The following is a 25,246-nucleotide window of genomic DNA, read 5'->3' as shown; positions in this document are numbered from 1 at the left end:
CTGTAGTTGGAAGCTTTTGGGTGCAAGATACTAATGGCTTTGTCCCTTTTCTGTTGTTTAATTTGCATTAATTTATACATTATATAGAGTCAACAGATAGGGAATGAGGGCCACATGTCTCCAAAATGTATGTCTACGCTTATAAATCTTAAAATCTGATATGATTACCCTCATAGAGCTCCACAATCCTGTGTGCCTTTTTGTTAGATATCTCCACCATTTGCTCTCTGATGAGATGCAGGAAGAGTAGAAATAAGGTGAATTGTACGATGTGTGTTTGGTGTCTGGACAGCCTTGCCACTAAGATATCTGCTGTGAGGGCAGGGAATGTGCTGCAGGGACTCAGGAAAACTCGGACAGCAGAACCCAAGAAGGTGGCATTTAGCCACAGATGGAGAAAAAAAAAATCCCTTTTTCCTTTGGCCCTTGCAAGGTTTTAATAAAGTGATCAGGCTGGGTGTGGTGGCTCACGCCTGTAATCCCAGCACTTTGGGAGACCAAGGTAGATGGATCACTTGAGGTCAGGAGTTCAAGACCTGCCTGGCCAACATGGTGAAACCCCATCTATACTAAAAATACAAAAATTAGTCAGGCATGGTGGCAGGCGCCTGTAATCCCAGCTACTTGGGAGGCTGAGGCAGGAGAATCACTTGAAGCCAGGAGGCGGAGGTTGCAGTGAGCTGAGATCACACCATTGCACTCCAGCCTGGGCAATAGAGCGAGACTCTGTCTCAAAACAAAGAAAATTAAAAAACAAAACAAAACATGAGCATTACTCTTGTTCGGTTTTTATTTGTAAGATTTTCCTGGTTTATTACCTGTGTGTAGTGGTGGTGGCAGTAGCCACTGGTTCTTTCAGGTTTAGAGAGACTCATGGTAGTATCTTTAATGAATTGTACTTTCAAGAATATGAGCAGTGTTATTGTAATGTTATCCCACAGTCTTTTTTTTTCTTTTTTTAACTTGGGGAAAATTTCAAATACATTCAAAAGTAAAGAGAATAGTACAATGATTTTTTTCCATGTACCCATCATCCAGCTTCAAATCATTATCAGCTTATGGCCAATCTTGTTTCATCTATACATCCTCCACTCACCCTGGATTATTTTGAAGCAAATCTCAGGCATCAAATTACTTCATCTGTAAATATTTCATTATGTAGCTTTAAGTGATTAAAAAAAAAATCTAACTACAGGGCCATTATCACATCTAAATAAAGGAGTAACAACTCCTGAATATCACAAATATCCAATCATTGTTCAAATTGCCCTCTCGTAAATGTTTTACGTTTTGTTCAAATTAGGATCTGAATAGACTCCATACACTGTTGTTTGCATCCTTGTGATGCCATGTCCCTCTGTTCTCGTATGTCCTATAATTTAGTAGTTAAACAGAGCTGTACTGTCCAATATAGTAGCCACATTCAGCTGTTGAGCACTTGAAATGTGATCTATTTGAGTTGAGATGTGCAATTACATATGTGGATCACGTTTCAATTGGATAGTGCTGATCTAGAGGCTTGATCACATTCAGATTGGAATTTTCTGGCAGGAATACTTCACAGACATAATGTGTACTTCCAGTCAGGAGGCACTGATGTCTTGGCTTTTTTTGTGATGTTAGCGGCCACTGATAAGACCCAGATTCATTCATTGATGGGGAGGGGACTCAAAAATAGTGATAGTTTAATTCTGTCATTCTTCAATTATTAACTGGAATACTTTTAAAAAGAAAAACTGTACAAAAGCATTTGTTTTTAATAAATTCGGTAAATACAGAGATTAGAAAGCTATGAGAGAAAGAGATTAGTTCTTAAATACTAAGGGTATTTAGCCCAAGTGGCTGAGTTTATGATGTCAAAGAATTTGCTGCTACAAGCCAACCAACTTAATCACTCTATAAAACCATTCATGCTCCTATGCCCATGTGACATTTGTAACAAGAAGCTTAGGCTTATGCCATCTGTTGTAGCTATTCATTTATACACGCTTTGTCTGCAGGGAAGTTCTCCTGGTAATTACAAGGTAAGTACAAAGTATATCTTATTCCATTTAAATAAGTATAATATGCAATATATGAAAGGAATGTGAACATTCTGAAATAGTAGTGATTTATGGAATAGTGATTAAATGAGACATTATCAACTAAATTTGTTTTTTGCCACCTGTTTGTCCCAGATTTTTTGTAATGCTTAGAACCTATAAGCTATTTCCATATGATGAGCTCTTTACCTTTTTGTGAATCCACATAGTAGTTCCTGGCTTCCTGTATCTGGCCACACATGAAGAGTATGTTTCCATTGCAGAGTTCATTTGCCTTTTGGAATAAATTTGGTTTTTCATAGCCTCCAAAGCAAAGATTAAGGTCTCTGAGGCAAGTGGTGTTAGAGTGCATAACTGTGTAGAACAGTGGACACTTTCCTCAGCTTTGTTAATTCATGCTGGCCACAGTCTGGATACCAGAATTTGAATTATGTTCTATGGGAAATGATTTTTTATTTACCATTTTCCAGGTACTGTGGTTAGGTGCTAGGGATGTAAGAAGGGGTGAACAGACAGGATTCCTGACCTCCTGGAGTTTAGAGTGAAGAAGCTTAATGATTATAACAGAGTCATTAGAGACAATTGTGATAAGTGCTACAAGGAAAAGTACTTATCAGCCAATTTATATATTTCATTCCAAATGTTTAAGTGCCTATTAAAGCTAAGCAAAATGCCAAATACTCCCTAACCTCATACAGAATACAGGCAATGAGGAAGGTAGATATTAACCCAATAATCATAAAAAATATGCTGAGTGCTTTGAAAGAAAGACATGGTTCTGAGATTATGAATTAGGATTTTTCTTCAAAAGCGTTCTGTGACACATTTAGTTGAAATAATAGGAAATATGTATCATATAGTAAGGGTAAGAATCATTATTCAGTTTACATATGTGTATGCTAGGAAATAAAAGTATACTATGGGTCATAGTTAAAAAAAAAAAAAAAAGGCTGGGCGCGGTGGCTCATGCCTGTAATCCCAGCACTTTGCGAGCCCAAGGCAGGTGGATCACAAGGTCACGAGTTCAAGACCAGCCTGGCCAAGATGGTGAAACCCTATCTCTATTAAAAATACAAAAATTAGCGGGCGTGGTGGCAGGTGCTTGTAATCCCAGCTACTCGGGAGGCTGAGGCAGGAGAATCTATTGAACCTGGGAGGCAGAGATTGCAGTGAGCTGAGATCGAGCCACTGCACTCTAGCCTGGGCAACAGAGCAAGACTTCATCTCAAAAAAGTAAAAAATAAAAAACTTTGTAAAGGCCACTGTGCTAGGTAGACCTGACCAAGTTTGAGAGTCAGGGCAAGCTTTTTTGAGGAAGTGATGTTTCAGCTGAGCTCTGAAGAATGAACAGCTTTTTCTTTTCTTTTCTTTTCTTTTTATTCTTGAGACAGACTCTCGCTTTGTCGCCCAGGCTGGAGTGCAGTGGCGTGATCTTGGTTCACTGCAACCTTCGCCTCCCAGGTTCAAGCAGTTCTCTCGTCTCAGTCTCCTGAGTAGCTGTGAGTACAGGCGTGTGCCACTACACCAGGCTAATTTTTGTATTTTTAGTAAAGAGGGGGTTTTGCCATGTTGGCCAGGCAGGTCTCGAACTCCTGACCTCAAGTGATTTGCCCACCTTGGCCTCCCAAAGTGCTGGGATTACAGATGTGAGCCATTGTGCCTGGCATTTGAGCAGCTTTTAATTAATTGTGGGGAAGCAACAGGGAAGAACTTAGCAAGTATCCAGAACAGGATATGCAAAGGTTCTGTGGGGACTGAGAGACCATGGCAGTTGAAGGCTAGCATGACTGGAGTAAGATGGGAGGAGAGGAAACGGGCCAGACACTGCAAGCCTTCAGAAGTTTAATTTTTATTTTGAAAACAGCCAGGAACCATTGAAGAGTTTTAAGTAGGAGAGTGCCTTAGTTTTGTTTCGTTTTGTTTTCTAAAGAAGGGGTCTTGCTATGTTACCCAGGCTGGTCTTTAACTCACGGGCTCCAGCAATCCTCCCACCTCTGCCTCCCAAAGTGTTGGGATTACAGGCATGAGCCACCGTGCCCAGCCAGGAGTGGCTTAGTTTTGGTTTTGAAATGGTCATTCTTGCCTCAGTGTGTGGAACAGAATTATAATAATAAAGCATGTGAGGATACATGGAGATGAGTGGTCCAGGTGAGAGATAATGGGGGCTTGGATTCCCATGGAAGCAGTGGAGTTAGCCTGAAATGGCTGGATTCCAGAGATTTAGGAGATAAAAATTCACAGGAAATTTGAGATGGTGGTGGTAAAGGAGAGGAAAGTATCAGAGATGAGTACTCGTGCACCTGGCTCAATGTTACCATTCCTTGAGACAAGGAACCCTGGGGGCGAGGAGCAGTTTGGGGAAGGGAAAAATCAGTTCACTTTGATACGTTGAGTTTGAGAAGTCTTGAGACACTGTGTAGGCAGTTGTGTTTATGAGTTTGATCTCAGAAGAGAACTGGAGAATTTAATTTGTGAATCATTGGCAGGTAATTGAAGCTCTGGGCAAGAATAAAGTCATTTAGAGAGTATAGTGAAGACCTTTGGAAACAATACTAATGTCATTGCCTGGGCCCCACTTAAATCAATCAGTGCCACCTTCACCCATCCCACTCCCCATCCCCATGCCCAGATCCAAGCACATGGGCACCACCTCATGGGCTAGTGTTTGAGAGGTCCTGGCTTACAGTTTGTCCAAGCATGCACAGCCTGGCTTTCCTAACATTCCCACATCCCTACTCCATTCCACCACCTCAGGCCTCTTCCACACTTTGCCCACTACCTGCTGAATGGAGTCAGCACTCAGCCTGAAGTTCATAGTTCTCCCCAGCTCTACCCCAGTCTACCCTTTCAATTTTACTTCGTACTGCTTCCCAGCACAGACCATCTGCTTAAGTCCAGCAACTTGTCACTTCTCTCCACCCTGCAGATTCCTCTGCTCTCTTGCTCACAGGCTGTTCTTTCACCTTCCAGGGTCAAGGCCAAGTCCCATCTACTTCCTGAAGCTTCTCCAATGCCCATAAGGACTAGACCACTCCCCTTCCTTTGGAGAATATTATTACATAATGATCTGTACCTCTCATGTTGTACCTAGTGAGGTGACCCTCATTTTAGAATACTTTCTAACTAGGCAATATCGATATCTTTACTGTAGCCCTTGCCATTCTTAAGAGATATAGGGCCAGGCGTGGTGGCAGGCGCCTGTAGTCCCAGCTACTCAGGAGGCTGAGGCAGGAGAACCGCTTGAACCCGGGGGACGGAGCTTGCAGTGAGCCCAGATCACGCCACTGCACTCCAACCTGGGTGACAGAGCAAGACTCTGCCTAAAAAAGAAAAAAAAAAGAGATATAGGCTGGGCATGGTGGCTCACACCTGCAATCTCAGCACTTTGGGAAGTCAAGTCGGGTGGATCACCTGAGATCAGGAGTTCGAGACCAGCCTGACCAGTATGGCGAAACCCCACCTCTACTACAGATACAAAAATTAGCCAGGCGTGGTGGTGGGTGCCTGTAATCCCAGCTACTCAGGAGGCTGAGACAGGAGAATCGCTTGAACCTGGGAGGCAGACGTTGCCGTGAGCCTAGAAGATTGCACTACTGCACTCCAGCCTGGGAGACAGAGCGAGAGTCCGTCTCAAAAAAGAAAAAAATAGATATGTTCCCCAAATCCTCAGTATCCTAGAAGCAAGTGTAGGGCTGAGTAGAAAATACCTATTAGGATGCAGATGCTGGGCGGAAGATGGAGAGAAGGGTGCCCTATACCTGCTAAGTGGACAGATAGTCTCAATAGAACTGTGTCCCTTCCTTGGAGATAGCTCAAAATTCAGATGATACCTGAAAATGTGAATAATAAATCTGAGAATGCCAAAACTTGCTGAACTTTCCTGTGTCTCCTATAACACCCTTGTACCTCAAAGGTCCCCTGTAAGAACTGGCTGATGGGGCAGATAATTTACTGGTTACAGTGGGACCTTCCTGATTCTGTATGGAAGGTAGCACAGAGAGCTACCTCCTGCTGTGCAGGGAGACCAGCTCTAGGCATGGAGTGGAGAAACCTTTTGAGTCTTATATACAGCAAGACACTAACAAGAGTTGACAAATGGGGCAGGAGATGAGGGAATTAAGGGATTTGCCTACCTGCCTTCATTTGACCTCTCTGCACTCAGATTATCCACCCTACCTCTCCACATGATGCTCTCATGGGAAGGGGATGACTGTAGTGACCCCTAGCAGGGCAGAGCTTTGCGTCATCCTGGCAGGGATGACAGATTGTGTTGAGCCAGAGGCACTTCCTGCTGCAGACTCCCTGATAATCCCTGATTGTTTGCAAAAAGGCAGACTGCGGTCAAGAAGTCTAGATTCAAGTGTATTATTATAGGCAGTCGTGAGCTTAAATTCTGTGTGAATGAGTTTGTTCTTTTTCTTTTCTTTTCTTTTTTTTTTTTTTTTTTGAGACAGAGTCTCACTCTGTCGCCCAGGCTGGAGTGCAGTGGTGCCATCTCGGCTCACCTCAACCTCCGCCTCCTGGGTTCAAGCAATTCTCCTGCCTCAGCCTCCCACGTACCTGGGACTACAGGCGCGTGCCACCATGCCCAGCTATGTTTTTTTTTTTGTATTTTTAGTTGAGACGGGGTTTCACCATGTTGGCCAGGCTGGTCTTGAACTCCTGACCTCAGGTGATCCACCCACCTCGGCCTCCCAGAGTGCTGGGATTAGAGGTATTAGCCACCACGCCCGGCCAAGTTTTTTTTGTTTGTTTTGTTTTGTTTTGTTTTTTGGAGACAGAGTCTCACTCTGTCACCAGGCTGGAGTGCAGTCGCGCGATTTCAGCTCACTGCAATCTCCGCCTCCCTGGTTCAAGCGATTCTCCTGCCTCAGCTTCCTGAGTAGCTGGGACTACAGGCACGCACCACCACGCCCAGCTAATTTTTGTGTTTTTAGTAGGGACGGGGTTTCACCATGTTGGCCAGGATGGTCTCAATCTCTTGACCTTGTGATCTGCCCGCCTCAGCCTCCCAAAGTGCTGGGATTACAGGCGTGAGCCACCGCGCCCGGCCGATTTTGTTCTTTTTTAAAGGCAACAGACTCAATATTTAATGTAGTTTAAAATATATCAAAAATTAAATTCCTGGCTGTTGTATTGCTAAACGAAGGACAGATACTAGTCTTGATCTAACCCAAAAAGCCAAGAAGTGATGTGTGAATGAGTTCTTAATTCTTGGCTTTCAGGTTTAGTAGATACTGTTGACTAAGTGACTTTCTGACCAACAGTGAATGAGAGTTATAGATGTTCCACATCCTCATCATCGCTTGATATTGTGAAGCTTTTTAATTTTAACCTTAAATTAATGGTTGTATGTTTGTGTAGTGGTATCTCATTGTTTTATTTTGCATTCCCCTGATGACTAATGAAGTTAAACAACTTATCATATTGGCTATTTGGATATCCTCTTTTGTAAAGTGCATATTAAAAGTCTCTTGCCCATTTCTTATTGTTTATAGAAGTTCTTTGTATATACTGGATATGAGTCCTTTGTCATATAGATTTGTTGCAAATATCTTCTCCCACTCTGTGATTTGTTTTTGTTTTTGTTTTAACTCTCTTAATGGTATATTCTGATGAATGGAAGTTTTTTTTTTTTTTTTTTTTTTTGAGACAGATTCTCGCTCTGTCACCCAGGCTGGAGTGCAGTGGCGTGATCTCGGCTCACTGCAAGCTCCGCCTCCTGGGTTCATGCCATTCTCCTGCCTCAGCCTCCTGAGTAGCTGGGACTACAGGCGCCCACCACTATGCCCAGCTAATTTTTTGTATTTTTAGTAGAGACGGGGTTTCACCATGTTAGCCAGAATGGTCTCGATCTCCTGACCTTGTGATCCGCCCACCTCGGCCTCCAAAGTGCTGGGATTACAGGTGTGAGCCACCACGCCCGGCCAAATGGAAGTTCTTAACTTTTTTTTCTTTCTTTTTTTTTTTTTTTTGAGACAGAGTCTCGCTCTGTCACCTAGGCTGGAGTAGAGTGGTGTGATCTTGGCTCACTGCAACCTCCGTCTCCCAGGTTCAAGCGATTCTCCTGCCTCAGCCTCCCTAGTAGCTGAGATTACAGATGTGTGCCACCACGCCTGGCTAATTTTTGTATGTTTAGTAGAAACAGGGTTTCACCATGTTGGCCAGGATGGTCTCGATCTCCCAACCTCAAGCGATCTGCCTGCCTTAGCCTCCCAAAGTGCTGGGATTACAGGTGTGAGCCACTGCACCTGGCGGAAGTTCTTAACTTTAATGTAATCCAGTTTATCAGAATTTTCCTTCATGGTTAGTCTCTTTTGGAGTTGTTGTTGTTGTGTTTTTTTAAATTTAATTTATTTATTTATTTATTTATTTATTTGAGACAGTGTCTCATTTTGTTGCCCAGGCTGGAGTGCAACCTGGGCTCACAGCTCACTCATCTTACTGCAGCCTCATCCTCCCAGGCTTAAGCAATCCTCCTACTTCAGCCTCCCGAGTAGCTGGGGCTGTAGGTGTATGCCACCATACCTGGCTAGTTTTGTATTTTTTGTAGAGATAGGGGTCTTGCTTTGTTGCCCATGCTCATCTCAATCTCCTGGCCTCAACTGATCCTCCTGCCTGGGCCTCTCAAAGTGCTGGGATTATAGGCATGAGCCAACGTGCCTGGCCCGTTAGCCCTTTTGTAACTTAAGAAATGTTTTGACTATTACAAGGCCATGAATATAGTCTTTCATTTTTATCTTTGAGTTTTATTATTTTACCTTTTACATTTAAATCTACAGTCCACCTGGAATTGATTTTTAGGTATGACATGAGGTAGAGGTCAATATTGTTTTTGTTTTTTTTTTTCCCCAGATGGATATCAAATTAATCCAGAACAATTTATTTAAAAGACTTTCCCTTTCCAGCTACTCTACAGAGCCAATTTTGTCATAAGTCAAAGATTCATGTGTGGATATGTTTCTGGACTTTCTTTTTTGTCCTGTTGGTCTCTTTGTAAGTCTTTAAGTCACTCTCTTCATTCTCATAACTTGAAGGTCTTGCTATCTGATAGTGAAAGTCTTCCACTGTGTTGCTTCTCCAAGAGTCTCTTGGCTTTTCCTGGTCCTTTGCATTTCATTTAATTTTAGAATTAGCTTGCCAATTTCTACCAAAAAAAAAAGTGATGGAATTTTGATACATGGGATGAATAAATTAATTGGAGGAGAACTGCTATCTTTACAAGATTCAGTTTTACAATCCTTGAACGTGGTATGTTCCTCCATTTAACCAAATGTTTTATAGTTTTCCGTGTAGCGGTCTCATACATCTTGTGTTAGATTTAGTCCTAGAGAACTATACTAATATAAATGGTAACTTTTTAAATTTTCCTTTTTTTTTTTTTTTTTTTTTGAGACAGCGTTTCCTTCTTGTTGCCCAGGCTGGAGTGCAATTGTGTGATCTTGGCTCACTGCAACCTCTGCCTCCCAGATTCAAGCGATTCTCCTGCCTCAGTCTCCCAAGTAGCTGGGATTTCAGGCACCCACCACCATGCCCAGCTAATTTTTGTATTTTTAGTAGAGACGGGGTTTCACCATGTTGGCCAGACTGGTCTCCAACTCCTGACCTCAAGATAATCCTCCCACCTCGACTTCCCCAAGTGCTGGGATTTGGGATTACAGGTGTGAGCCACTGCACCTGGCCTAAAATGTTCCATTTCTAATAAAATTTTTAGAAGAGTCCATTTACATGATTTACTATTTATATAGAGAGATGTAATTCCTTTTTTTTTTCCTTTTTCTTTCTTCTTTTTTTTTTTGAGACAGCATCTTGCTCCGTTGTCAGGCTGGAGTGCAGCAGCATGATCTCGGCCACTGTGTGATGTGTTAGAGATACTCTTTATTAGTTAAGAAAATTCCCTTCTCTTCCTAAGTTGCTGAAAGGGTATGGGTATTGATTTTGTCATGTTTTTTTCTGCATCTATGAAGCTATATAATTATATAATTTTTCATCTTTATTGATATTTATCTTTATTCCCATTTATTGATTTGGGGATGTTAAGTCAATCTGTCTTTCCTGAAATAAACTTAACTTGACAGTGTTATATTATTCTACCCATAATTATTTTTAAGATTTTTTTTGCATCTGTGTTCATGAGAGATTGGTTTCTAATTTTCTTATCAAGTTTGGTATCAAGGTTATGCTAAAAATCAGCTGGGTGCAGTGGCTCACGCCTGTAATCCCAGCATTTTGGGAGGCTGAGGTGGCCGGATCACCTAAGGCCGGGAGTTTGAGACCAGCCTGGCCAACGTGGTGAAACCCCGTCTCTACTAAAAATACAAAAATTAGCTGGGTGTGGTGGCACAAGCCTGTAATTCCAGCTACTTGGGAGGCTGAGGTAGGAGAATCACTTGAACCCAGGAGCTGGAGGTTGCAGTGAGGCAAGATCAGGCTACTGCACTCCAGCCTGGGTGACAGAGCGAGACTTCGTCCCAGAAAAAAAAAAAAAAAAAAAGGTTATGCTAAAATCAAAATGAGTTAGAAAGTATTTCTTATTTTCTTCTTCCCTGGAAGAGTTTATGTAAATTAATGCTGTTTGTTTCTTAAACATTTGGGTGACAATTATTTTGATGAAATGCATGAGAACTAGTTTTGTGGACCATGTTTTGGAAAACAGTGGTCTAGAGCATGACTGAAATATGAAATAGTGAATTTCTGTCCGTGTGAATGCTCTTGTTTTTATTCATTTCCTTCCTTTATGCAGCACTGGCCCCCTCACCTTTTCCTTTCCAGCTGTTTGGGGCTCAGCTAAGTGACCACACAGGAGAGCAGTGAGGCCATTTGAGGCCTGAGCCTGGTCCTCAGGACTCGACTCTCTCTCCCTGCCATCAAGCAGCCTGCCCCAGCCCTGCCAGCCATCTCCACACTCCTGACAGAATGAATGCCCTCGATGGTGTTCCTTTCAAGTTGCCCAAGGGCTTTGTGATAGGCACAGAGCCTCTCCCTGGGCCAGAACTCAGCGTCCCGGCCTGCGGGGAAGTTCTGCTGGGTTCTATGGTAAGTGTGTCTCTGTGTTTCTGTCTTCTGGGTCTGTGGGTCTGGGGCTGAGTCCATGGGGCCTTGTTCCTTGAATTTAAAGGACAGCTAGCCCTGGCCAACATGGTGAAACCCCGTATCTACTAACAATACAAAAAATTAGCTGGGTGTGGTGACGCGTGCCTGTAATCCCAGCTACTCGGAAGGTGGAGGCATGAGAATTGTTTGAATCCAGGAGGTGGAGGTTGCAGTGAACCAAGATTGTGCCACTGCATTTCAGCCTGGCGACAGAGTGAGACTTCGTCTCAAAAACAAATTCAGCACTCTTTTTGGGCCACCGACCTTCTATCCAGCCCCACTACTTGACCTGGGCACACCTACCAACTCCACCATTGTAACGTCAGAATGGTACACACTATTTCTGTAAAGTGACATCTTTCAGATACTTAATGGCTTTTCATATATGCATACCCTTGATGGCCTGGACAGTTTCACGAGTGTTCTTAAAGTGAACACGAAAATTTGAACCTCTTGATTTGCATGATTTTATGGGGTTCTCCAGGTCAAATGAATGGTGAACCATTTTCACAGATTACCTCAGGCCACTTAGGGAAAGAGCTGTTTTTGTTTTTTTCAGACAGAGTCTCGCTCTGTCACCCAGACTAGATGGAGTGCAGTGGTACAATGTCAGCTCATTGCAACCTCCTCTTCTAGGGCTCAAGCGATCCTCCCACCTCAGCCTCCCAAGTAGCTAGGACTATAGGCACATGCCACTATGCTTGGCTAATTTTTTATATTTCTTTGTAGAGATGAGATTTCACACCATGTTGCCCGGGCTGGTCTTGAACTCCTGGGCTCTAGTGATCCTCCCACCTTGGCCACCCTAAGTGCTGCAATTACAAGCATGAGCCACTGTGCTCGACCTGCTTTTGTTTTTTGAGACAGGGCCTCACTCTGTCGCCCAGGCTGGAGTGCAGCGGCATGAACATGGCTCACTGCAGCCTCAACCTCCTGGGCTCAAGGAGCCCTCCCACCTCAGCATCCCAAGTAGCTCAGACTGCAGAAAAGTGCCACCATGACTAATTTTCTTTTTTTTTTTTTTTTTTCATTTGAGACAGAGTCTCGCTCTGTCACCAGGCTGGAGTGCAGTGGCGCAATCTCGGCTCACTGCAACCTCCGACTCCTCGGTTCAAGTGATTCTCGTGCCATGGTCTCCCGAGTAGCTGGGATTACAGGCATGCACCACCAAAGCCAGCTAATTTTTTGTATTTTTAGTAGAGATGGGGTTTCACTATGTTGGCCAGGATGGTCTTGATCTCATGACCTCGTGATCCACCCGCCTCAGCCTCCCAAAATGCTGGGATTACAGGCGTGAGCCACCGCACCTGGCCATTTTCAAAATTTTTTGTAGAGACAGTCTCACTATGTTGCCCAGGTGGACTTGAATTCCTGGGCTCAAGCAATCCTCCGGCCTCGGCCTCCCAGTGCTGGCATTACAGATGAGCCACTGTGCCCAGCCTAACACTATTTATTGACCAGAACTTTATCGTTCTCCTATTGCTTGAGATGCCACCCGTATTAGTTACTAAATCCCTATAATATATTAAGGCCTATTTCTGGATTTTCTATTATGTACCTTTAATCTGTCTGTGCCAGTACCATAGTTTTAATTATTGAACTTCTATATTTTAATAGATGGTAGGGCCAGTTCTCCTTATTTATGTTTTTGTCTCCAGAGTTTCTGGCTTTTCTTTTTCTTTTTCTTTTCTTTTCTTTTCTTCTCTTCTCTTCTCTTTCTCTCTCTCTCTCTGTCTCGCTCTCTCTCTCTTTTCTTTTCTTTTTTCCCTTCCCCTTCCCTTCCTTTCGACAGAGTCTCGCTTTGTCGCCCAGGCTGGAGTGTGCAGTGGTGCAATCTTGGCACATTGCAACCTCCACCTCCCAGGTTCAAGCGATTCTCCTGCCTCAGCCTCCCAAGTAGCTGGGATTACAGTCATGTGCCACCATGCCCAGTTAATTTTTATAGTTTTAGTAGAGGTGGGGTTTCGCCATGTTGGCCAGGCTGGTCTTGAACTGACCTCAGGTGATCCACCTGCCTCAGCCTCCCAAAGTGCTGGGATCGCAGGCATGAGCCACCGAGCCCAGCCCTTATTTGTTTTTATATGAAGTTTAGAATCATCTTGCATAGTTCCAAAATCAAGTGTTGGCATTTTATTGGGTCTTGGTATTTTTTTAATCCCTCTGAGTGCTGCTGGCTATTTCTTAGCTTCTTTCTCTCCAAGTATGCCTCATTAGTTCTGAAGTCTTTTTGCCTTCTCTGTCCTTCACAACCCATCTATTTTGCTCCAATCTCTTTCTCTAACCATTTATTCTGCACATACTTACAAATGTCCACTCTGGGCCAGGCCTGCCCTGGGCCCTGAAGATACAGAGAGGAACTCAGGGAGTCACACTGGAGCAGCTAACTTATGCTCCTCTCCCCAAGGTAGGGTCATGGGTGAGAGGGAGCTGTGCCTGTGATCTAAGTGTCTGAGTGTCTGTGCCTGTCTTTCTGCCTCACTCCCCAACCCCTAGCCTCTTTCTTCCTTAACTGGCCATGGTAGAACAAATTGCCTTTAAAACTTTTACATATTTTTGATGGAGTCTTATGTTTGCTGTTCTTAATTTTAAAGGTAGGGAACAGGAATATGTCATTTTTGCCTCATTTTATAAACTCTAGAGTTAGATTATTTATGTGGACTCCAGATTGCTTTTTTAGGTGGTCTGATACGAAGTGGAGAAAGCACTACAATCAGGTCCACCGACAGGAAAACCAGCTCAGCCACTCACTGCCAATCTAACTTCTAGCAAACTCAATGTTCTGAGCTCCATTTTCATAATATGGAAATAGGAATGACACTAGACCATACTAAGTAGAGTTCCACAAAGATTAGTGGTTATGACATTTCCAGGACCCCAAAGTAACCTTGGTGGCAGCAAAGGGGCTGGGGACAGGAATCACTCCATAGGGAGGTTTGTCTGCCTGGGCGGGCCTCCAAGGCAGACTACTCATTGGCAAACTGCTGGGCTCAGGTGAAAGCTTCTTTGCTAAGAATAAGCTTTATTGGAGAAAATTTTTAAGTAGTTTTTGCTCAACTACATACTGAATGGCAAAGGGATTTAGATGTTGGGTTTCATTACATTTCATTCGACTGACGAATTCATCACTTTGTCATTTATGCCAGTTTGCCATTAAACTGTTATTGGTATCCATCGACCACAGTGTTAGCTAAAACCCAGGGTAGAGTGGGCTGTGATGGAAGCCCGGGGCTCAGAATCTGACGCTGTCCAGGCTTAGAGAGTCTCTGGCTGAACAGGGTCCCCCAGGCCAGGGGTTAGTGTTGTGCCCCCGGGGTCCTGGTTTGCCCTGGGCTTTACGTCGCCTTCTTTCCGCAGCACGACTTCAGCCTGGAGAGGACGGCACTCTTCTGGGTGGAGGCCGCCGGCCAGGGACCCAGCCCGTACCAGTGCGGTGACCCGGGGACAGCGTCAGCCCCTCCAGCCTGGCTCTTGCTAGTCAGCCCCGAACATGGGCTGGCGCCTGCGCCCACCACAATCAGAGACCCGGAGGCCGGACACCAGGAGAGGCCGGAGGAGGAGGGTGAGGACGAGGCAGAAGCCTCCTCTGGCAGCGAGGAAGAGCCGGCCCCCAGCAGCCTCCAACCGGGCTCCCCGGCGAGCCCCGGCCCCGGCCGTCGCCTGTGCTCGCTGGACGTGCTACGCGGCGTGCGGTTGGAGCTGGCAGGGGCGCGGCGGCGGCTCTCCGAGGGGAAGCTGGTCTCCCGGCCCCGCGCCCTCCTGCATGGCCTCCGCGGCCACCGCGCGCTGAGCCTGTGCCCGAGCCCTGCGCAGTCCCCCAGGTCTGCATCACCCCCGGGGCCCGCGCCCCAGCACCCCGCCGCCCCCGCGTCGCCCCCGCGGCCCTCCACGGCAGGCGCCATCCCCCCGCTGCGGAGCCACAAGCCTACGGTCGCGGTAAGGATTCTGCCCGCCCCTCCAAGGCCGCCAATCAGCAGCCCAGGCCCCATAATCTGGGTGTCCAGCCCAGCCCGCAGCCTCGGTCCCCTACTCCACGCGCTCCTGCATCCTCCCTTGACCTGCTCCCACCTGGGCCTGTACCGTGTTGTCCTCCTGCGGCCCTTTGACTAGAGTAGAGTAGTCCCTGCTCAGAAGCCCCCATTCCCCGCGTTTCCCACTGTGCCTGCCTTGCTTTTTTTTAGGGAGCAGGTCACAGTGGTTTTAATTATCCAGGACCTGTCTCTTCTAAACGAGGTTGAGCTCTTTTAGGGCAGGGACTGGATCGCACTGATTTTTGTTTCCAGAGCACCCAGCTGCCGACTTGACCCATAGGGGGCGCTCAGTGGATGTCTGTTGAATTGATGAACGCAACGCAAATCTAGGGCTTCCCACTGGCTGAGGTTTGCTATAAGCTAGGGGAGCTGGAGGCTCAATCAAGGAATATTCAATGCACAGTTACTTCCTGCCAGACACTGGGTTTGGGAGTGTCAAAACCACAGGACATGAAGAGTTGGCCAAGAGGGTTGTGGGACCAGGCCCTGAACTGTACAGCGGGATCAGGTGTTGAGGGAGCGTCAGGGCTGCAATAGGCTGAGAAGGCTTCAGGACGGAGGAAGTGAACCCTGAAGAGCAGGGAGAAGTGACCCTACAGTGAAACCACAGAAGCTTAAGCCTCAGGCTCCTCCCTTTGTCTCTTCCAAGGCCTTGTGCCCAATTTTGTATTCATAATTGTGTGTTCTTTTTCTGTGAGGTGCCTTCCAAATTATGTAAGTATCAGACTCCACAAAACATGGGGTGGGTCAGGATTGGCAGCAGAAGGTGGCAGCGGGGCACAGCTTTCTGCCCCCCAGCAGCCCCACAGTCAGGCCAGGAGATGCTGCAGAATAAGGCCAAGGTAGAATTCAATCTGCAAGACAGAGACCTGAGGTCTGGTTTCTTACATGCACCGGCTTGTGACCTTAGGCAAGTCACTGAACCACCCCTTCTCTACCTGCACTGTGAGCCAACAACCCTTCACACGGTTGTTTAGAGCATACATAGTAGAGAAGAGGCTCTGTAAGCGTGATGTGCCATGCCCACATCCAAGACCAGATGTTGATGCCAGGATGGCTCTTCCCTGGCCAAGATGAATTTAACTCTCATAACAACCCTGTGGGGGTGGGACAGTATTCTGTAGATGATGGAAATGAGGCACAGAGTGGCAAAGAATCTTTTTCAAGGACACAAGAGTAGACTCAGCTCCTAAACTTTGATGTTCTCCACCCTGGAGGTAATAAAGGGTAGACCCTAGGGTGAGGTCGTGGCAGGGAGAGCCCTGAGAAGATGCGTATGGGTGGGGATTCATGTGTGTTACATATACACTCCACCCCAAGAGCCAGGCGGCAGCTGTGTTTTCCTTGGGAGGAGGGGACAGGATGAAACGTTCAGGGCTGGCAGAGAGGTACTTCCTCATGGGAGAAGGTTCGGGGCGATGCCGGCCAAACCAATGGAAATGCCTTCAAGTCACCCTCCTTAATCCAGGGTGTGTTTCAACTGGTGTGCCCAGTTCCTCCCCTGCTCCATGCCCTGCCAAACCCCAGCCCAACCAAATTCAAGAAGGAGGGCCTGGTTGGGAAGACCTACCCCTGCTCATCTGTCACCAAGGTGTGGGGCATAAAACCTAAGTAGGGTTGAGGTACCAAGCGTGTGTTGCTTAATCAGGTCATTAACGTTTCTGAACCTTGATTTCAATGTCTGTAAAATGGGATAGTAGAATGGACCTCATATTTCTTTCACTAGTCACTTTCCTGACATTGTTTTTTGTTTTGTTTTTTTTTTTGAGACAGAGTTTGGCTGTTATTGCCCAGGCTGGAGTGCAATGGTGCGATCTCTGCTCACTGCAACCTCTGCCTCCCGGGTTCAAGCGATTCTCCTGCCTCAGCCTCCCAAATAGCTGGGATTACAGGCATGTGCCACCACGTCCGGCTAATTTTGTATTTTTTAATAGAGGCAGGGTTTCACCACGTTGGTTGGGCTGGTCTCGAACTCCTTACCTCAGGTGATCCACCTGCCTTGGCCTCCCAAAGTGTTGGGATTACAGCCATGAGCCACCGCGCCCAGTCCCTCACATTGTCTTATTTAAGTCTCCTGATAGTCCCGTGAAGTAGCTTAGGGATTGCCCTCATTTTTCATATGAGTATACTGAGTAAGCATTAGAGAGCTGGGGTCTGCAGGACTCTAAGCCCTCCATAATATTAGCCCCTACACTCTGTACAGAAGGTGGTACATAAAGGCATTTTTAAAAATGTCCAGCCCAACTGAGTGTCACTTCCTGTAGTAACTGACATGTCCAGTCTGTCTGTATTTCAGTCCCTCAGCCCGTACACCTGTCTGCCACCTCTTGGGGGGGCACCCCAACCTCTCAACCCCCACAAGTCACACCCTGATACTGCGGCTGACCTGCTGTCCGCCCTGAGCCAGGAGGAGCAAGACCTCATTGGGCCAGTGGTCGCCCTGGGATATCCCCTGCGAAGGGCCATCATAGCTCTGCAGAAGACAGGGAGGCAGAGCCTGAGCCAGGTGAGTTGGGGGACCCAGAGCTGATGAGCTGTGATGCTGGAGCCAGGTGAGTGGCCACATGATTTTCACCTTTTGAGCTGTGACATAGGCCCAACAACAGCATCAGCCAACCCCACAGCTCTGGAGCATCTATGGCCCCTCAGGGTTGTCCTAAGTGGGGCTGAGATGGTCAGGCCTTTATACCCCTGCCTCAATCAGTCATTGCATGTGGGAAGGGGGTGACCTGAGGTAAGTGGATCTCTGCAGTTAAGGTAATCCCTGAAGGGGCAGACAACTGAAGAGTGTCTCCCAGCTCTCCCAGCATCTGGGGCAGTAAGTCCTGCAGTGAAAGGGTGTGTGGATGGAACATCACAGAGTCTACCACACGCAGGTTCTACTCACCCACATTCTATTCTTCTAATAGAGTTCACTCTATTGGAAGTATGGCGGAGACTCATGATGACACTCCAAGGACAGCACTCTGAGCCACGCTACTATTTGGAAGCAGGTCTTGACCCCTGATACAAGCCAAGAATGTAAGAGCACCTGCAGAGGAGTGAGGGCCCCCAAAGTGCCCAAAAAGAGGTGCTAGTGGCAAGATACCTGGGAGAAGAAGTGGTATGAGTGTTATAGGGGTGTTTCTGTCATCTCTTTCTGTGTAACAAACTACCCCGAAACTTAGTGGCATGAGACAACCATTTATTTGCTTATGATTCTCTGGATTGGCAGTTTTAAGGTGGACTCAGCTAGGGGGTTCTTCTGCTCATCTCACCTGCAGTCTCATGTGGCTACAGTTTGGTGACTTACTTGGGGCTGAATGATCTAAGATGGCCTCATTCACTGTACAGTGGGTGGTGATACTTGTCAGCTGGGCCACATATCTCCAGCAAGCCACCCTACTTGGTTCCAAGAGTAAGGCCTCTTGAGGCCTCTTGAGGCCTTGGCTGAAATTGTACATAGTCACTTCCACCTCATTCTATTGGTCAAAGCATGTTGTTGACCCCTCCAGGCTTACACAGGGGAAAAACAGATTCCACCTCTTGGTGGGAGAGGGTGCAAAAAATTTTATGATCATTCTCAGTCTACCACAAGAAGGTTCCAGTGATCAAGAAAGGCTTCATGGAGATACCAAGCATTGAGCAGGACTTCAAGGATGGATAAGATCTGATGCTGAAGGAAGGAGAAGGGGTGATATTCCAGGAGGGAAGGACAGTGTGAATAAAGGAGTGGAGGTGGGAAGGAAGTGTTTGGGAGGCCCTGATCTGACCAGTCTTGTTGAGGAGAGGGTGCATGAGGCAGGCTGGTAGGAGATGAGAAAAAGAGAATTGGGGGTAGATTTAGGGGTCTTGAAGGCTGGCCTGAGAATTTGATAAATGACCCAATAGGCAAAAGGAGGCACGGAAGGATTGTAAGTAGGGTCAGGAGGTAACATTGAATGCCATTGCCTACACCCCCATGTCCCCACCTGAAAGTAACATCCTTCGTTGCGTGGTTTTCTAAACATCGGGACTCTTCATGGTTTGATGGCTGGCCCCAGGGTAGTTGGCACTTTTCATTTTTCTCCCGTTCCTGCCCCACCACCATCAGAAGGCTTGGACACCTCCATCATCACTGATGAGTACTGAATGTTGGGTCCCTGCGGTCCAGAGCTGCCTGCTTCTGCCAGAGGGAATGGCAGAAGGGAAGTGACTTTCAAACAGGAGCCGGGGTGGGGCTGGGCAAATGCACCTGGTCCCCTTGCCCACCCACTCCTGCTTCTACTCTACTCTGGGTTCATCAGTTCATGCCCTGTCCTGGAGGAGAATTTCCAACATAGTGACCCCCATGTGGCTAAAATGGCAGGGAGGGGTGCTAACATTTATTGAACATTTTCTTGCATGAATCTCTCTCTCTGAGGGTATTCAGTTAGGTCTCAATTCTGCAAGGTTGCTATTACATTATGACCACTTTGCAGATGAGGAAACTGAGGCCAGGGAAGTTCATACAGCCAGTCAATGGCAGCACTGGGGTTGAGGCCAGCTGGTCTGACTCTGCATCTTGGTCGCACGATGTCTTTTATCTCATTTTCTGTGTGAGAACCTCCCAGGACAGCACCACAGGCTGATCTGAGATTTAAGAGCAGATCTAAAGTCACGCCTACCTTCGGATGATACTGAAAAGCCAGAGTCCTGGCCAAAAAGCTGGTCAGGAGGGCTGTGAGGGGCCAGGTGCACAGTGGGGCTCTGACATGCCTCCCCAGTCCCTTCAGGCCCTGTGGTAAGGCTGAGGTCTCAGGCCATCACTCTGGGGGTCTGAAGATGAGTCAGAGCCAGCCTGGGGCCCTGGCCTCCCAGTGGGTGAGCAGGAAGGATTTCACTGCATTGGGAACATTGTGTTTCCAGATATAGACTGGCCACCTGCCTGGCCCCCTGGATCTCTGGGTGGCCTTCCCTGGTGGGCAGTCAGGAGCCAGGCCCCACGGGGTGGGTCTGAGGGGCCTTTGGATGACTTCATCTATCCTCCCCCACCAAGTTAGTATTTCTGTCTGTTCTGTGAAGTCCTGGTAACTGAACAAGCCCTTTGGGTTCAGATTCCTTCTCCCACTGAAAGCCGCATATTGCAGTAAATCCTTTTTGGCCAAGATAAATGACAGATGGCCCAGGAGGAAGGGCATCAGGTGATAGAGACAGAGCAGCTAGAAGAGTCAGGGAGAGAAGAAGATACAAAAGAAATTGTGCAGCACTCCTTTCCTTCCACAAGGCTTGATGTGCCCACACTGCCTCCCTGCAGGACAGGCATGGGTGCCATGTGTGAGGGTCCACAGGCCAGGCCCCCTCTTTTAGCCTCAGTTTCCCAGTTCACAGGGTGGAGGAGGAATACGTGTTTGGAACCAGTGACTTCCGGGGGCCCCCTCCGGTGGCCTTAAGGTGACATCCTCACCCACCTGGGGGCCTGAGGCAAGCCTGATAGCTTCTACAGTCCTGCAGGCCCAAAAGCTAACCAAGCAGCAGAACCTTTGCAAATGCAGACTCTCAGGGCTTATCCTGCAGGGCCCCAGTCAGTGGATCTGGGGTGGACCCAGGGGCCTTTAATTTTAGAAAATTTGCAGATGGGTCTGATATTCACTGTGGCATAGTATAGATCAAGGTCAGCTGTCCCCATTCACTGATTCTTAGTCTTGGGTGCACATTAGAATCACCTGGAGGGCTATAGGGAAAAATTCCAATGCTCAGGCTACACCCCAGACCAATTATATCGTAACCTCTGAAGGTGAGGCCCAGACAGCAGTAATGTTTAAAGTTCCTCAGGTGGTTGCAATAAGCACTGAGACTGAGAACCATTGCTATGGATGAGCCAAAAGGTGGAGGCAGCGTCCACCATCCATCCTTGCCCGCCCTCCTTCTGAAGGTGAAGCTTTCACCTTTGGAAACCCTGTCATCCACCAAGACAGCTAAAAGCCCGTCCTCTAGCAGCTGATCCCTCTGATGGACAAGGCATTAAATGACAGGTTACATAATCGGGGACCTAGTCCTGGGACCCCGGACAAGGCACCTGCCTTGCCTGAACCTCAGTTTCCTCAACTGTGGAAGGAGGGCATGGGTGCCTGGTTTTCAAAACGTGCTCAGAGCAGGTCTAGCTGTACTGGGCAGTACCTCGGCCAGGAGCACTGGACTCCGGGCCCCCATGCCCCTGGCCCTGGTTCTCCCAGAGCAGCTCTAATCTTAGCCTGTTATTGCTGAAGCCTCCTTGTGCTAAGACAAACACTTCAGGAGCCAAAAACAATTTGACAACTGTTAGTCTAGATGATGTGCACTTTCATCCCAGCTCTGAAGGTCTACGGAAACCCCACTCTCCCTTCTCCACATATACTCATAATTCCTGTAGTCTGGAGCCTTCATTTGGCACCTACACCCCATAAATCCTGCTTTGATTTGCCTGGCACTGATGTGGTCCTGTATCTGGTTTATCTCCCCCACTAAGCTGTGAGTTCCTTGAAGGCAGGTCTTCATTCATTTTATAAACACAGCACACATTTATTGAGCTCCTTCTGCCACCATGCTGGATGATGGGGACACTGTGGTGAATGAGACTGACACAGCCCCTCCCTCATGGAGCAAAAACTTCGTGGATGAGAAAGATTGAGTGAAGCAATTACAAAGTTATATGTGCTGTAACAGGGAAGCATAGGGTGCTATGGGGGCACAAGGGACGGCACCCAGGAAGATAGAGGGGGCAGGAAGCTTCCCAGGGACAGGGAAGGAGGCCAGCCTTGGCTGAGGGAGCTGCATCTGCAGAGACCTGGAGGGTGAGGGAGGGGCCAAGGCCATAGACAGGGAGCAGGCCTTTGAGCCCTGCCTGGTAAGGAGCCAGCATTTTATCCTGGGCCCCTGATGACGTAACCGTGGGGTGACCTGAACAGTTTTTCCTGCCTGTGGAATCCTCCTCTTTGCCTACCCCACACCCCTTCTCCAGCACTGGTGCAGGAGTTGCATAGTAGTGGCTCAGGAGTCCTGGATGAGAGAGATGCATCTGGGGGCACAGTAGGGGTGCACAGGTGTGGACGGATGAGGAGGCACCTTCACACGAATGGGTGCTCCCAGACAGGGGTGGGTGGTGCATGAATGTTGAATTGCGTTGGGTGGTAGGTGGGATGTCTGTGTTTGAAGCCTGTCCTGCTCCCCACCTAGGTTCTATGAACACCCTAGCCCACCCTGACAGCCCTTTTCCTGGAGTCCAGCCCCCAGCTTGGCATAGTTGGTGAAGACCCATTGTCTGCCTATCGCCAGGCACTCAGAGAAAGCCTCTATCCCCCTTCTGTGGGTTCACGGGCTCTCTGGGGCCACGCTGCAGGTGGTGGCTTGCCCTGTTGCCTGGCCCTCAGCTCAGGCCCTTGGAGTGCCTCTCTGCCCTGTCTGCTGCCCCGGCTGCTCCTCTTACCCTCCCTCCCTCTCTGCCCGCTTCCGGCCCAGTTTCTCAGCTACCTCAGTGCCTGTGACCGCCTGTTACGTCAGGGATATGAGGAAGGCCTGGTGGATGAGGCCATGGAGATGTTCCAGTTCTCCGAGAGCCAGGTCAGCAGGGCTTCCTGCCAGGGCCCCAGGGGATGGAAGGGATGGGGGTGTACCCAGGAGCCCGGTGTGCAGGGCCACACCAGTCCTCAGAGCCAGTCTGTGGGTCCAGCCTGTGGGTCTGTCGGGAGATTGCCTGACTCCTCAGCTCTGAGGAGGAGATGGCCCAGGGAGCTACAGCAGGGACAAAGGTGAGAGGCACAGAGGGAGATCAGGAAGAGGTGGGACGGGGACAGGAGGCAGAGAGCAGCAGGGGTTTTGCTTTATTAGACTTAATCAACACAGCCTCTGTGACTGAATGGCCACTCTTTGTCGGACACTCAGATAGGAGCCATGGGCAGCACAAAGATGCATGACCTTTCTACTTGGGGAGCGTGCCGCCTACCCCAAGTGCATGCAGCTGTAGGCCCAATAGTCACATCTTGTTTTCTGAGACTGAGTCTCACTCTATTGCCCAGGCTGGAGTGCAATGGCACGATCTTGGCTCACTGCAACCTCTGCCCCCGAGGTTCAAGCAATTCTCCCGCCTCGGTCTCCCAAGTAGCTGGGATTACAGGCGCCTGCCACCACACCCTGCTAATTTTTTTTGTATTTTCAGTAGAGACGGAGTTTCACCATGTTGACCAGGCTGGTCTCGAATGCCTGATCTCAAGTGATCCGCCCGCCTCGGCCTCCCAAAGTGCTGGGATTACAGGCGTGAGCCACCGCACCCGGCCCCAGTAGTCACTTCTAAGTGCCCCATGGCAGAGCAGCTCTTCACAGAGGCTGAAGGGGACGGAGGGTTGGGTGAGGCCTCGAGAAGGAGAGAGTGAGCAGAGGTGGGGAAGTTTCAAGCCCTGGGGTCGGAGGGGAAGGAAAGTGCAGGCTGCGCTGTGATACCTCCACAGTGTTCAGGGCACGGGCAGGGACCTTGGGCTGTTTGTGCTCCAGGTGCAGGTGTACGGTCTGCCCCCCTCCTGCCCCAGCAGAAAGTTGACAGTGAGTGGGAGGAGTGGGAGGAGAGTCAGGACAGAGCCCATGGCCAGGCTGGGGCCTTCTTTCCTTGGCAGAGGAAGGGAGGTCGGAACCTACATCACCCTACAGGTACAGAAAAGTGGCAGGTGTGGCCCAGGATCAGGCTCACGTGGCCTGGGGGTAGCCACAGCTTTTTGGGACTAGGTGCAGTAGGCACTGGAGCTGGGGCTCCCCATGGCTGAGGCCAGGCCCAGCAGAGCCCCCAGCACCCTCCCTGTCTCCTCTTCCTCAGGCAGGGGAGTTCCTGCGCCTCTGGGAGCAGTTCAGTGACATGGGCTTCCAGCAGGACCGGATCAAGGAGGTGCTGCTGGTCCATGGCAACCGCCGAGAGCAAGCCCTGGAGGAGCTGGTGGCCTGTGCCCAGTGACCACGGAGGCACTCCACGATGCCTGGGCATCTAGGCCCAATGCCAGACCTGGCAACCCATCCTAACTGTATTATTAAAACCAAGTAAGAGTAACAAAGTGATGCATACTTATTGTAAAAACACAAATAATACCAAGGGTGACAGTTAACAGCAGCAGAATCTGCTGAAAGAGTTGAAATAGTTGCCTCTGCAGAGGGGCAGATGGGAGAGCCGGACGGGGAGCTATGTTCTTCATGCATGCCTGTGAAACCACCTGATTTGACTCTTTACACTGTGTGCATTAGTAACCTTGATTTTAAGAAAATTAAAACAAATAAATAATGGGCAGTTCTTCTGAGTCCTGCAGGCACCTGGTCTTGGTGTGGAAAGAACATCAAACTGTAGGTCAGAAGACCTCATTTCTGATTTTAGGTCTGCTGATGTCTGGGTCAAGGCCTTGTTGGGCCTCAGTTTCCCTAGGAAACGTAGAGAGATTTGACCAGGTCAAAAGCTTCCAGCCCTGGCGGCTATCCATAAGAATCCTCAGGGTGTTTATTCAAGAGTCCCAGACCCCACCCTCGTATATTCTGATTCAGAAAGCCCAGCTTGGCAGCCCCCAGGAATCTGTTTTGTTTTATGTAAGAAGATCTCTGGGGATTCTTTACTACATAACAGGCCTATGGCCAGTGTGTGTGACTTTCAGCCAGTCTGGGGCCCCTTCTGCTCTATCTGTGATCGTATGACAGTCTTTCCTCATTTGCGGGGTGGGGAGGTTGTGACCAGAGTTGTCTCCAGTCACCCAAGGCCTATCGTTCAGAAGTCCCCAAGGATTGAGGGGACCAGCCCATAACTCAAGCAAGCAGAGGCCAGGGGCCAAGACTCTAGTGCCTCTGCTCTCCCCAGCCAGCCCTGCGCAGACCTGCAACAATTACCGCAGAATCAAAACATCTCAGCCCCCTCCACCCTGCAAACAGGGCTGGACCTGGAAATGAGGCCAGTAAAAAAAACGAACAACTTCCACGTTTCTCAGGGCTTCAACCCCAGATACCTCATCTGAATGTGTAATGGGGACTTCTGCAGGCCTACACACAACAAGCTTGGAACTAGAACCAGGTCTCCGGAGGCCCAATAGCCCCTCGGTGCTTTCTACTAAGTCTCAATGCCTGCCAACTTGAAATCACAATAAAAAT

The 25,246-nt window shown here is 48.1% G+C and overlaps 1 protein-coding gene across 3 annotated transcripts, besides 2 other annotated features; it reads left to right on the top strand.

The window, feature by feature from the left end:
- Positions 1-1,973: 1,973 nt before the first annotated feature.
- On the top strand, positions 1,974-24,414 carry UBAP1L (ubiquitin associated protein 1 like). Of its 3 annotated transcripts, NM_001163692.2 has the most exons (6): positions 1,974-2,024; positions 10,786-11,078; positions 14,490-15,068; positions 17,460-17,669; positions 22,598-22,699; positions 23,943-24,414. In NM_001163692.2, exons 2-6 carry the CDS (start codon positions 10,959-10,961, stop codon positions 24,075-24,077), a joined length of 1,146 nt encoding a protein of 381 aa, NP_001157164.1. In that variant the 5' UTR covers positions 1,974-2,024; positions 10,786-10,958; the 3' UTR covers positions 24,078-24,414. The 3 variants fall into 3 exon arrangements, with proteins under 3 accessions (NP_001157164.1, XP_011519849.1, XP_016877661.1); XM_011521547.4 differs by lacking the exon at positions 1,974-2,024 and having other exon boundaries at positions 22,598-22,887; XM_017022172.3 differs by lacking the exon at positions 1,974-2,024 and having other exon boundaries at positions 18,073-24,414.
- Positions 22,632-23,133: an enhancer, noted in NCBI's record as "H3K4me1 hESC enhancer chr15:65386379-65386880 (GRCh37/hg19 assembly coordinates)". NCBI's record gives its function as "activates a minimal SCP1, AML or CMV promoter by ChIP-STARR-seq in naive H9 embryonic stem cells {active_cell/tissue: H9 hESC(naive)}" and the evidence as "EXISTENCE:reporter gene assay evidence [ECO:0000049][PMID:30033119]".
- Positions 23,750-24,250: an enhancer, noted in NCBI's record as "H3K4me1 hESC enhancer chr15:65385262-65385762 (GRCh37/hg19 assembly coordinates)". NCBI's record gives its function as "activates a minimal SCP1, AML or CMV promoter by ChIP-STARR-seq in naive H9 embryonic stem cells {active_cell/tissue: H9 hESC(naive)}" and the evidence as "EXISTENCE:reporter gene assay evidence [ECO:0000049][PMID:30033119]".
- Positions 24,415-25,246: the final 832 nt, after the last annotated feature.

This window comes from Homo sapiens, chromosome 15 (assembly GCF_000001405.40).
Source record: "Homo sapiens chromosome 15, GRCh38.p14 Primary Assembly".
Taxonomy (NCBI): domain Eukaryota; kingdom Metazoa; phylum Chordata; class Mammalia; order Primates; family Hominidae; genus Homo; species Homo sapiens.
This window is presented reverse-complemented; position numbering and strand designations above follow the sequence as displayed.

What these genes read in the sequence shown, in the direction of transcription:
- UBAP1L (XM_011521547.4), top strand. Translation starts at nt 10,959, where the DNA reads ATGAATGCCCTCGATGGTGTTCCTTTCAAGTTGCCCAAGGGCTTTGTG. An exon ending in GGAGGCAGAGCCTGAGCCAG is followed by an intron (nt 17,670 to 22,597) that starts GTGAGTTGGGGG and finishes CTTCCGGCCCAG; the next exon opens with TTTCTCAGCTACCTCAGTGC. An exon ending in GAGCTACAGCAGGGACAAAG is followed by an intron (nt 22,888 to 23,942) that starts GTGAGAGGCACA and finishes CCTCTTCCTCAG; the next exon opens with GCAGGGGAGTTCCTGCGCCT.